Source organism: Homo sapiens, chromosome 4, assembly GCF_000001405.40.
Source record: "Homo sapiens chromosome 4, GRCh38.p14 Primary Assembly".
NCBI classification, from domain to species: domain Eukaryota; kingdom Metazoa; phylum Chordata; class Mammalia; order Primates; family Hominidae; genus Homo; species Homo sapiens.
The window spans coordinates 89,902,869-89,916,284 of record NC_000004.12 but is presented as its reverse complement, the minus strand read 5'-3'; the positions used below and the strand labels follow the sequence as shown (position 1 = coordinate 89,916,284).

The window sequence follows — 13,416 nt, the reverse complement described above, 5'->3', positions numbered from 1 at the left end:
TGTCACATGAATCTCTTTGCTCCGGAATTCATTGGATGGAGTCCCTGCCAAGGCTGTTGAAAACTTGAAATGCCTGTTTTACAAATTCAATAGTTTATGTTATCTTTCCCTACCTTTGTTTGTTGACTGGAGTTCAGTACTTGCATTCATCCCAATTTATTACACGGGATTTAACCAGCCACAGCAAAGAGCTGATAGGATCTCTGACAGTGGAGTCAGTTACTCTCTTGTGATAAAGAGCCTCGTTGATTGATGCTCTTTTGTTTTTTCATTTAGCAATCTTTCTGTCTCCCCAAATGTATTCTCTATCACAAGGACTGCCACAGATTCTAGGTTTTCCAAGCAATCTGTCTTTCACTTGAGCACAGACCTTTGCTTTGTTCCATACAGGACAGATTTCTAAGTTTCTTTTTCTTGTTCCCTTCTAAGCGATAGGTACAGGGACAGAAGGACATTTATTTCAGTCAACTAAATTTTTAAAGATGTTTGTGCATTTCAGATTTTTTTAAAATGCAATATATTTTTTAAGTTGGATTCCTTTTTGCTTTTCTCCCAGGACAGTTACTCTCTTTTTTTCCCCTTGCAATGGAAGCCCTGACCTTGACAGATCAACGACTTAGAGAAGCAAGGTCAGCAAGTGTCTACAGTAGGAGCAACAGCTTCCTTATTAGATGCTTTTTTTTTTAATTAGATGGATTTTATTTGCAAGTTTTTTTTGTTTTCCTTCCAGACCTTTGAGCCATATGGAGGATGTCATTAATGGCAACTCAGTAATGAGGATGTTTGCTCTCTCTCACTCAGAACCAGAAAACCTTCCTGTGTGGCTTGAGGAGACAGATTTCCAGCTGATCCCTCAATATCAAGTGAAAACTTGCATGGTGAATGTTCGGTGTACATGTTAAGCTTTACTGAGATTTACTAGGTAAATTGAAGTAGGCAGTTTGGTGCAACAACCACTTATGGTACAGAGTGTTCTTCACTAAATGCATCATAATTTTATTGTGAAAGACTCTTAGAGGAGGTAATGTTCTTTCTCAAAGAAGAAAGCATTTGCTACTGCTGGGAAGAACTAGATATGCAAAACTACAGGGAATGCATTTTAAAATACTCCTGCTGGAGGAGCCCCATATTCAAATGTTAGTTACAGTAGCTCTTATATAATTTATTGCATGATTTCCCAGCATTTGTAAAACCAAATATTTTTTATATATTCATAACATATGGTAGGGGCCAGTTTATTTCAGCACTTGTACATGCTCACATTTTGTCAGCATTCATAATATCTGCAGTACAAAACAGAATGTTATAAGATACCTTTTTCCTATAAAGGATCTGATGATTAAAGCCACTGGATTTTTAAAAACAGATTTGCAAACAAGTTTTCTTCATCCTCTGTAATCTAACACTATTTGTATTTAAATCATTGCCCTTTGTGTCATTAAAGCAAGTCACACTTTCCTTGTTCCACTTCAGAATATTTTAGAGACATCTACTGGAAAAGAGCATTATTGCAAATTTTATAAAACAGATTTAAGTGTATGTTACTGCTGACTTTTTGAAAAGTATCTTGAATACCATATCACAAAATTAGGTCCTTTCTAAAGGCAAAACCCTTGTGCAAACTGTCTTTGATGACTCACTCCTCATTATGTACAAATATATATGTTTGAAAAGAGAAAATGACATAACAAATGTAAAACATATCAGAACTATTACTTTGATGTTGGACTTAGTACTCCTTTTTTCCCCCAATAAAGTTCTATTCATTTAGATTTTTAAAAATTGGTTTCCTTTTGATAATATGATGAATATTTTTATAAGGTAATCTAGAACTGTGGCTACCAGTATTTTGATTATCTGAGTTGCAGCTAAAGTACGTGCGTAGCAGATTAGCATATTGTGGAATAAAGAGAGAATCGCCATGTATTCTGAGTCACCACATCTCTTTCTAACAGTTTCGAGATGGATCCACATCCCCAAAGAAATAGAAAGAAGGGTATAAAAGAAAGAAATGGAAAGAAGGGTACAAAAGTGGGGGAGAAGAAGTAAAAAAGTACAATTGCAAACAGCTCCAATTTATTCCTGAGCTGGTGATATTCCCTGCATATTTAGAAGATCTTCCTACTGCAATTTGGTTAGCTATTAGAAGGGGAAAATGTGCAAATATCCTCCCAGGAGAGATATAATGAAGGTTCAAGGGACAAAGGACACAGTAGTTCCTAATACAACCAGTGCATCAATTGCACTAATAGAAAATTCAGCCATTGAAAATACAACTGCACTAAAAAGTGAAAAGTAGAATGGTCAAAGTATAGCAGAGAGCAACAGGAGGCTATTTTGGAATCAAAGCTATATTAGAATTGGTTGTATGACAATATGACACAATATGCATATCTGCCATTGGAACATTATTCCCATTGTAGATTTCCGTAGAAAAGAGGCCTTTCAATAACAGCTTAATCAGCAGATACCTGAATTATGAGTGGTTCCAATTACACTATTATGACAGAAGGTCATAATCAGAACTGTTCTGGGACATTTTTGCCACTGGAAATTAATACAATGATTTGTAAATCTAGTATAAAACCTATCCACAGGTTGCTTCTAATTAGGATATAAGGTGTCATTAGACAATCCCTAAACTACTTGAATTCATAAATATTTCATATCATACTTTGAAAAATGAGAGTGGCAGGACACAGTCTATATTTGAAACTGTCAGCTAGTCTTTGTTTCTTGTGTCTATATTTACAGTGATGTTCTGGTATTTTCTTCCTACATGTATGTAGTCCACCATAGTGATAAAGAATTGATTCCTAAGTATAAAAGGTTGAAGCACGGAGCAACAACGCTCTGATCAACTAGAGTCCATGACATTTCATTAGTAGACTTTTTCCCTGCCACATGTCTACTAATAAGATGTGTAATAACAACCTAAATTTCTAGAAATGTGCTCTGCAAACAAACTTGAATCATCAAGAAATAATGATGGAATTAATAATCTCATGATATCCTTCTTTGTAGAAGAAGAGAAATACAGATTTCAGAAACAGAATTCTAAATATTATCCAGAACTTTTAACAATTCACCAATTCTAGACACAAATATGTTTTACCATTGTGAGTATATATTTGTGTACTTCATGGAAATCAGAAATCAGGGCCATATTTGGGTCTTTTTAAAATATGCTAAATTCCTTATTTCCAAATATTTTCAGCATAGATTATATTTTATTTAAAAGTTTATTTTACCTGGTTATAAATGAAGTACATATTCATTCTGTAGTCTGAATATAAATTGAATTTTTATAACATCTTTGAAATTCAGGCCAGACCCAGAACAAATAGCATTATGGTGAAATTTGCCTGTAGATTCTCATTGTATAGGCTAGTAAAACCATAAATAATATCCCTAACTAAAATGCAGGATTCCTAGAGCTTTTGTATTATAATTTTCTTTTTCTTAATGTGAGCCATAACGGTTTCTCCACAGTTTTATTAATTTTTAATCACAGTCTCTTATACTGTTGATTGAATTCCCCACCACTGCTAATGGCCTTTCTTGTAATATTCATTCATTTAAAATATGTATGCTGATGCTGTATCTTATTTTTCAAAGGAAACCTGTTTAAAGCCAAAAGCAAAATAATAGTCACATGGATATTAGGCCACAGCGGGTTACCATGTGTTTGATCAGCCTTGCCACCAGAAAGTCCTTAAAACCTCAGCTGAAAAAAAAAAAATAGCTCCATTAGAATTTTGAAAAAGAGAGAATTATTCATGACATACCTTGTATGTCCTTTAATACTAAATTTCATTCATATGCACATTATTTCAAATAACTGAACTGGAACAAAACTAGATGGTAGTCTTATTTTTATATTGAGTCACTTCTAATAACACTTTATTTAAAAATTGAAAATTAGCATTCCTGATATTTTAATAAGGCATGCCTCTATAGCTTGTTGTTAAGAATAAGTAAGATCTTTCATCAGATTTCCATTTGCTCATCATATAAATCCAACATAAAAATGGGGGGAGAAGTTAAAGAATAGCTTATGAGATTTCAGAGTGTTATAAAAGCTACCAAGTTAGAAAGCTTAGAAAGTATAACAGTCCTAGGAGTTTGGCTACATGTTAATTTACCTTGGTTCAAAAGGGGAAATGCTATTCTTTTCTTCAATAGAATCAGTTTCTTATTGTTCAGAATTGTGATTATTAATATTAGAGTGTACCTCTTAGTTGACATTTCGGCCCACTGTATCCAGGACAGCACCTCCAATCCAATGAGGTGACAATTTTATGTTGCATCCTATAGACAGGATTGGATATCTTCTGAGATCTAGAGAGTTGAGCAATTGGAGGGAAATCGATTATTTGTTTCACATTAAATTATCAGCCGGAATAATAAATGTAAAGTTTTTGGGGCAATGCCTACAATATAACAAGCATTTATTTAGTATCGGCTGTTATAATCATAATATTCATCATCAATATTATTGCCTAACTTAGGTTTCTTTCAATACATTACAAAAAGCATTACTAGTTATGGTATTTGGTATTTTAAATTGATACCTGCCATTGACTTTCTAAAGATATTATAGCTTTTCTCTTGATAATACTTCTTGCTAAATCAATGTTAAAATTTATTTTCATTCCAATTTTAAAGTTATATGGAGATAATTTATTCTACTTCAATTCATATGATTTCCTATATTGTTATATTTAAAAAGATCTGTATTTCCTCCAGATCAGTATCAAACAACTTGAAACAAATTGGATATTCGTGATCTAATTGAAATTATGACAACCACTATCATTTTCCCATGGAATTTTTCATCTTCAAAGTTTTGAAATTATGCTACCTACTATTTTTGTCATATAGTATTTCTCTGAGAGAGAGAGAGAAGGACAGAGAGAGAGAAGGGATGTAATATGAGGAAATTTTATTTTTAAGATGAAACCATAGAACAGCAGAAAAGAAATATGGAAACTATAGCAGTTCAACACAACAATCAATATAGTGACTGCTACTAAATTGTGAGCTCTGTGTGTTTGTAAATGTAAGTCATAAGTACAATTTGGCCATATTAGTCTTACCCATGTGACTTTAATATTTAGTTGCTATTTATCAAATGGGTCTGTAAAATGGGTACATACTATCTTGCTTAATTTTCATTTTAGTTTATGATGAAGGCATTATTATTATCCTCATTTCCTGACGAGGAATCCAAAGAACAGAGAGATGAAATAACTCTCTCAAAGTCCCATATCTAAAAGGGGTAGAGCTGTGATTTTAGCCCATGTCATGTGGGCTAGCCTCCCTTGTTATTATCCTGGAGTTTGCCACGTACAACTATATGGAGACAACAGTCACCTACATGGGTAAACCGTGAACATGTGGAGCAATAGCATTATAACAGACCGGCCTTTAGAGACTTACGTTTCAGTTTCTGCTATAACATGACAGGTAACCGAGTATGTCTGAGGCTATTTGTCAGTTGCAAAATGAGCTACAAGATCCCTTCCATCTGAAAAGCATGCTAATCATTTACCCTCATTTATTTCACTAAATCATTCTGTCTAGTGAAATACTATCTGCACTCTCATAGTTAAAGCTAAGTAGGAAGCAAAGCAATTTGGAAAGGGACTGTATATAGAGTTTGTAAGGATGAGCTCAGGCAGTTAGTTGAACTATTGTTGGGGTCAATGTTCCTGCTTTGGCAAACTGAATATCTGTTGCATGTAGCTCAGACATAATAAAAGAAAAAGTGGCAATTATGACACGAGTATTAAAAATAGCGAATGAATGCACCCACTCAGAAGGCATAAAAAAGATAAGATTCGAGAATAAAGATAAATACTTATGGTTTGTTTAAAGAAAAGAAAAAAATAAAAAGAGCTCACCTTGAATCCAGAAGGGCAGTATGCTAGGGGCTACTGTGGTAAATTTTTTATTACTAAAGAATTAGCAATGCATTCTTTGTGTCTCGTATTGGCAAGGAAATTGTCACAAAGAGAGTGAGGGCTGAAAACAGAACTAGAGTTCAGCTCTCCCAAATCCCTAAGATGTGCTTAGGTCTCTGGACCATGAACCTTAGCTATTCCTCAAGGGACTAAGAAACACCTTGATTTTATGTATCCTTATTGTGCACTGTTCCAGATTGCCATGTGTCAGATTCATTGCCTGAGTTATTTGTATGACTATTTGCATAACATTAGCCATCATGGCCTGAATAACAATTGGAGTTTTTATTGCAGGCTCTTTGGAAACACCCCCAGCTGAGCTACGGTGACTACATGAATTCAGATAATTTATCAATTACTCAGCCCCATCTTTTAGGACAACAGCATAGACTTTTTTAAAAAATGATAATCAAATGACATGGCTAATTACAATAGACACAAGAAGAAAAGCTTCACCTAGCTGCTTTTCCATGCATAATTGTAACTAGAAGCTCTCCTAATTTTAGAATATGAACCAAGTTATAAACTTCTTTCTGACCTAGCATGAAGAGAAAATAATAAATCTTCAAAACTGTGCATGAAATTCATAAGCAATTAAGGACAGGATTGTTGACCAGATATAGAGTAAAAGTAATAGTGATAGTAAAAATAGAAATAAGCATGATAATTAACATTTATTGAATGCTTATAAGGCACAAGGCACTAGGCTAAATATAGTATTGCATTATCTCAAATGATTCTAAAAATGACCATATGAGGCAAATATTATTAGTGTCTGCATTTTCACTTACTAAAGCATAATGTGACTACCATCCCCTGACCCTACTATGTATTATGTACCTTGCATGAATAACATTATATATTCCCGGCTATAATTTATTATGGTGCAAAAACAGTGGCTATTTTCAAGAAATATTACATACCTCTGAGGACAGGATCCACCGGTCCAGCCACAAGGTCCTTTCCCACCTGGGACATAAGTGACCTGGTTGTCCAATATCACTGTGGGAGATAACCTGGTATGTACATAAGCACACCAATTCCTAAAGAAGATCATAATTGTTAGGGAAAAAACTGTTGTCAAAAAAGAATTCTTTTCATCAAAATTATTTTCACAGACAAACATTTATTTTTGCCATACTATAGATCAGAAACCTTGTAAGATTGCTATTTAGCTTTAAAATATTTAAATATAAGAGAAAATAACTTATTACTGTATTGCTGTACTCAGGGACTATAAGGAAACACTAACAAGATCAAAATAAAGAAAAGAATAAATCAAAGCTAAAATGAGAAACCTGCAGAGTTTAGCTATAAGATAAATCAAAATGCAAGAATGCTCTTGTAGCAAATATTAATATTAGTACTGAGATAAAAAACTCAGATCCGGGTCCATTACTTTAAATTATGTGCAGTAAAGCATAAGTAAATAAGTAAATAAATGGTTTCAAAATCAAAAAAGAAGAGAAAGAACTGTTATTAGCTGCAGTGGATATGATTGTAACCAAACAAAATGCAAAATGGTCTAGATGCCGATTATTATAATTAAAAAGACAATTCAGCAATGTAATCAAATATAAATGTTTATGAGTTAATACAATACTAATTTATATTAATTCAATCACAAAATTAAGATCAGTTACATTTCTCTGTACCAACAACAAATTAAAAAAGACACTATTAACAGTAGCAAAAAATAACAACAAGAATAATGTACCTAAGAATAAATTCAGCAAAAGAAGTGTTAGATTTAATAAGTAAAAATTTTAAACTTTATTGAAAAGTTTTAAAGAAAAAGCCAATGAATCATGTTAATTAATGGGAAACCCAATGCAAATATGTCAATTTTCCTCAAATTAATCTTCAAATTCTATGAATTTTCACAACAAATCTTAGCTTGATATAAGGAGTTAAATGAGCTTATTCTATAATTTTTCATATAATAAACTAAAAACATAAATTTCAGAGAATTTTGTCCCTGGCTATATAAACTATCAGATTTACCTTTTATGGCAAAAATTATAAATCTGGACAAGATGTATAAAGCAACAGTTTTCAGATGTTGGGCAGTAGACAATGCAGTGATATGATTCTTGAGGGAAAATATGTGATGTTAGCTCCACATTCAATCTAGTTTTGTGCCTGGGAACAATTTTCAAACTGCATCACAGAAGGATGGATTCCAGAAAAGACACCAAGTAAAGAAAATAGAGATCTGAGTTTGGGGATACTAGGATGGTTAAAAAATGTGTTAAAGATTAATAAAATGAGGGGGCCAGACAGAAATATCATTTTAAAAGTCAATATAGGGGTGCCCTTGAATCTTGGACTGAATACTATTTTGTGCTTGCAAACAACAAAATCCAGACACTAATAACATAGTATCCACAATGCCCAGCATGAAAAGCAGACAAAACTAACTATGAGAAAAAGCAGCAAAACAGGACCAGTATATGGAGTAAAAATCCAGTAAATAGAAAAAAAAAAAACAAAAAAACAGGCATGACATAGAAGTTGGAATTAGCAACCCATGACTTTAAAACAATTAACCATTAAATAGAACGAGAAGTATACAATATGTGAATTAAAAATGGACTGAATGTTCTTAACAGAAATTTGGACACTTTAGAAAGGAAGACCAATAAACTCGAAGATAAGGAATAGAAACCAGCCAAACTGAAGTACAGAGAAAAAAATTCAAAAACATAAATGAGCAAAACTGAAGTGGTCCTAAGATTGGGCAGAATAAACATGAGAAGAAAAAAAGGGAAAATTTCCTAAAATTGTTTTTTAAAAAAATCAACCCTCATATCTAAGAAGCTTAATGAATTCCAAGAGGATAAACACAAAGTAAAACCTCACTTAAGTACATCATACACAAATTCCAGAAAACAACACATAAAAAGAAAAAAAGATATGTTAATTGCTTGATTTAATCATTCCACATTGTCATTCATCTAAGGCAGAGAAATTGAGCTCTACAGAACTTATTGTGTTCTTTTGAATGTGATGTTTAAAATTTCAGGCCCCTTAAAGAAGTAAGAAGACATGCTGGCACATGTTGTTAAATCACTGGTGACAATTGAGGCAAAAATAATGTAAAACAAAGAACTGGAAAAAGCAAGAAATAAAAATAAAAAGATTTAAAATTGAGAGGACCACAATAAAGGGATCTTTAAAAAATTAACTAGATTCCTCATGCAAATGCAATGATGATCCTAATTACTGAGACTGACTCACTTCAACAGAAGCACAATTAAATTGTCACATGAACATTCTCTGAATGACTGTGGAGGAGGGAGTGTGGGGCAGAAACAACACAAGTATCACCGTCACTACATGCTCAGGGCTTTGAAAAGAAAAAAAGTATATTCATTCTCTGTGAGGCAAAATGATAGTGTCACCTGGCAGAGACCTTTTGAAATCCTAAATATTAAAACAATCTCATGACTAAAATAGTTGAGGAGACAAAGAAGCAGATCAGCAGACTGCTCATGGCCCAGCAATCTTTGATCCAGGGTAAATTAGAAGAACTATCCACAGCAAAAGAGCCCCTGGTGTGACTCATAATTAGGTTTATGCTACCAATGAAATAAGCTCATTAAGGGATATTAAAAATGTAAATATAATTTTAAAGCCAAATTATCTGAAAATGTAGGTTTAAAAATAGAAAATGAAGCATGGCAAAATGGTGATGGGCAGTTTAAAGGCAAATGCAATGATCCCAGACAAGCATTTTGCTTAAACCTAGTAATCCTTTGTACCTTTCTAGACTGATTATGGTGGATGGAGAGCAGTTACTTTGAAGTGTTTAGTTTTCCATGGGGTCATAACCTTCCATCCAGCAGACCACATTTGGGATTCTCTTTCAGGGTAATAACTCTGTTGCTTTTGTGCAGCAACATGTACTGAAAAAAAGCTTGTATTGATTCTTTGGATTTTCCAAGTTAATAGGTAAAAGGTTTGTTCTAGGGAAAAGCAGACATCTTTGGTTATGAGCAAATGCCTAGCTTGTTGAACATATAAAATAGAGAGGGGAAAGGATTCTATTATGATTCATAAAACTCAAAGACTTGTGGATAATGAACTAAGAGAAGGCATCATAAATAAACAGTTTACTATATTTTTTATTTTGACATTTTAGAAACTCAGTCTTTCAGGAAACTAGTGAAAAGACTAATGTAAAAAACTTCCATTAATTGACTAAATAATGGCCCAGTCATACCAATTCTTATCCTGAACTGAGTGAGAGAGGACTGAAGCAAAAAAGATGGCTTTAAATAATGACCACACAGAATATTTTCCCAAGAAATAAAGGGATAATCTAAGAACTAACATTATTCAGTTATACTAGTTCTTAGAACCCAGATGAATAGATTGCTTGTCATCTAATTCAAAAGAAGCTAAATACTTAAACTTTCATATTAATAAACTGTGGCTTTAATTGACACAATAGTATGAAAATACCAAGTCCTGAGGATGTTCATTAGAAGTCAAGGTAAGACAATAAAATCGCCACCATAAACCAAGCCAATGGTATATAATTTTCTTTGAGAAGTGGGAGAAGATTTTGTTTCTGGGGGAGACTTTATGGATTGAATGACCTTTGTTTCCCATCATGCCCTTTAACGTAGAGATTTAAAAGGGAACAAGAGGAAAACAAAATAGGACAAGACAGACATAGCTGCTTCTGAAAATTAACATTCTCTTGAAGAAATAAGATTATCAGGTGACTCTAGTAATAACCCCTCACACCTCACCTAATACCCACCCATGCGTCTCTGACTTGAGAAAGTATAAGATCTCAAATGTCCATTTCTTTACCTTGTACTTAAAAATGACTACAGTTTGCAAATGACAACATATGAATACATTAATGAATTCATAAATGCTTCAGGGGAAGAACTAAGTCTCTGGTGGGACTTAATTTAGAGAGAAAAATATTGATCCCTCATAAGAGAATAATTTATTCATATTATTCCTAATTTACCTCATGAAAAATACTATCATCTTAATTATAAGATTATTATTGCATGAAAATACAACCAAACAAAACTTAACTGTTTGACCATTACTAATGGCAAAATTATGAAATAATAGTGTTGTACATCATTTTACACTAAACTCCTGAAGTCCATAGTGATAAAATCCCCACCCAATTCAGTGATAAGTGGGAAAACATATCCTAAATATATAAAAGTTAGTCTTATATTTTTTTATAAGTGTTTACTACTTTTTGCAAATCCAACCTGCTCATCTCATTCTCAACTCTATAAGTCTGACATATGTGGATAATTCCCCCCCTCTCTTTTTAAAAAATATCACTTAGTAAAAAATAATTTGTTTAAAGAGGAAAATAGAATTTTAAAGGTAACTATATCTTAACAAACCTATTTTTATTGGTGTCAATAATCAGGGAAAAAATTCAGCTAAACCCTCATTTGTTTTAACGGTTCAATTATTAAGTCCCTGAGGAAAACTATGTGTCCTAAGTCAATAAAAATAGAACAGATTTTAGATAGCAACACTAGTCAGAGTACATGTTCTCCCTAGCACACTACCCTAATTTGAGAACGTCATTAAAATATCATGTATCACAATAACAGAAAGGTAGAGGCAACTCAAGTGTCCATTGACAGATGAATGGAAAAAGAAAATCACACACACAAACACACACAGACACACACGCACACTCAAAATGGGGTATTATTCAACCTTTGAAAAGGAAGAACCTTGAAAATACTATGCTAAGTGAAATAAACAAGACACAAAAGGACAAATATTGTACAGTTTCACTTATATGATGTACTTAAGTGGTTAAATTCATAGAGACAGAAAATAGAATGGTGATTGCTAGGGATGGTAGGGAGGGTGCAATGGGAAGTTATTATTTAATGGGTACAGAGCTTCAGTTTGGGAAGATGAAAACGTTCCAGAAATAGATGGCAGTGATGACTGCAAAACAATGTGAACCTACTTAAAGCCACAGAACTGTACATTTAAAGACGGATAGAATGGTAAATTTTTTAATGTATATTTTACCACAATAAAAATAAATAAATACATACATACTGAAAAAAATGCCACACAAAGTGAAAAATAATAATTTTGCATATCTCTTGTCAAAATCAGAGAGAGTTGAAGAAGAAAAAGTAAGAAATAGAGCAAAGGATGAAAAAATAGGACAAAATAACAGGAAAGGGGAAAAGAAGAGAGGAGGAGGGGAATGAGGCATTTCTGGCAACATCAGAGTTGTCATCAATACATGCTTTTTTCACCTCGTAGATCAGAATTAGAAGGTCATTTCTGATGATGAAGTTCTGCCTGCTGGACAAGATTTTTATTCTCCTTTTAACTGCACACATAGGTGTGAATAAAGAAGAGAGTGTATTTCTGTGCCTAGAGTTTTTTTTTTTTTTTTCTAATCCTGAATTAGGCAAGGGTGAGGGGTGGGGGCAGTGGGCACATCTGCATAAGCAAAAGAAAATAAAGAAAAATTTCCCTGAAAAATTTCCCATAACATAGTTCGTCGCTGGAGCCAGGCTACCTGCTTTTAGATCTTGACTCCACAATTTATAGCCATGACTTTGTCTGGCAAAAGTGACTACCTCATCTACGAAGCATCTACAATAATATTATCTACCTCACACGATTGTCGTGAGACTAAATGTTTTAAGAAAAGTAAAATATTTGCTGCTATCACTGCTTATAATAATTAAATGATTCAGAGTTAAGCGGGATTTTTTTTGAAGAGGATATATATAATATGGCCTCAATATTTTTTTGCCTCAGATACAAAGAAACACAGCTCCTGTTTTGCTTCTTTAATGACCTGATAAATTCATCTTAACCATAATTGCTTGTATGTTTCAAGTCAATAATTTCCATAAAGCCAATACAGAAGACCATCATCATCATTTATGTTCAATTCAGATGAAGCTTGCCTCTCAGGAAAAAAAAAAAAACTTTCAGAATGTCTCTACAGTCTTAAGAAGTCATGAACATAAATACTTCCAAAGTGTTATAGAATCTATTTATTGAAATCTTTATTTTTTCCAATCAAGCTAAAAAGAGAAGTTTTTAATCAAATTATTAATTTGAAAGACTATAATTTGCATGTAGTTCACTAGTCATAAATGAGAAAATAATTCAAGGGAAATATATACATGAAAAAAGATAATAAAAATGGGAAGCAATAATTTACACTTAGTGAAAAGATTCTTGATATGTAAATTATATTTAAATAAAGCATTAGACATTTGATATTTAGCTTTGGCTAAAAGTCCAAAAGACAAGTTCATCTCAATATTTATTTCCTTAAGAAAATCATTGTTTTATTTCCTAACAACAAAATAATTTATGTTTGTGGTTCTTTTATTGTAGTGTATCTTTCTATGCTTAATCCTTTTACAAAATTTTATATAGTATTCAAACTGAGATAAAAATATCA

The 13,416-nt window shown here is 32.8% G+C and overlaps 1 protein-coding gene across 4 annotated transcripts in view; it reads right to left on the bottom strand.

Moving 5' to 3' along the window:
- The window catches only part of MMRN1 (multimerin 1), a 75,104-nt gene that overhangs the window by 38,330 nt on the left and 23,358 nt on the right, over positions 1 to 13,416 (bottom strand). For all 4 annotated transcript variants that reach the window (NM_001371403.1, XM_047449831.1, NM_007351.3 and 1 more), the window contains 2 exons: positions 6,890 to 7,009; positions 4,235 to 4,341 (listed from right to left, as the gene is read on the bottom strand). In NM_001371403.1, coding sequence (NP_001358332.1) covers positions 4,235 to 4,341; positions 6,890 to 7,009 — 227 coding nt within the window. The remainder of the gene's footprint in view (positions 1 to 4,234; positions 4,342 to 6,889; positions 7,010 to 13,416) is intronic.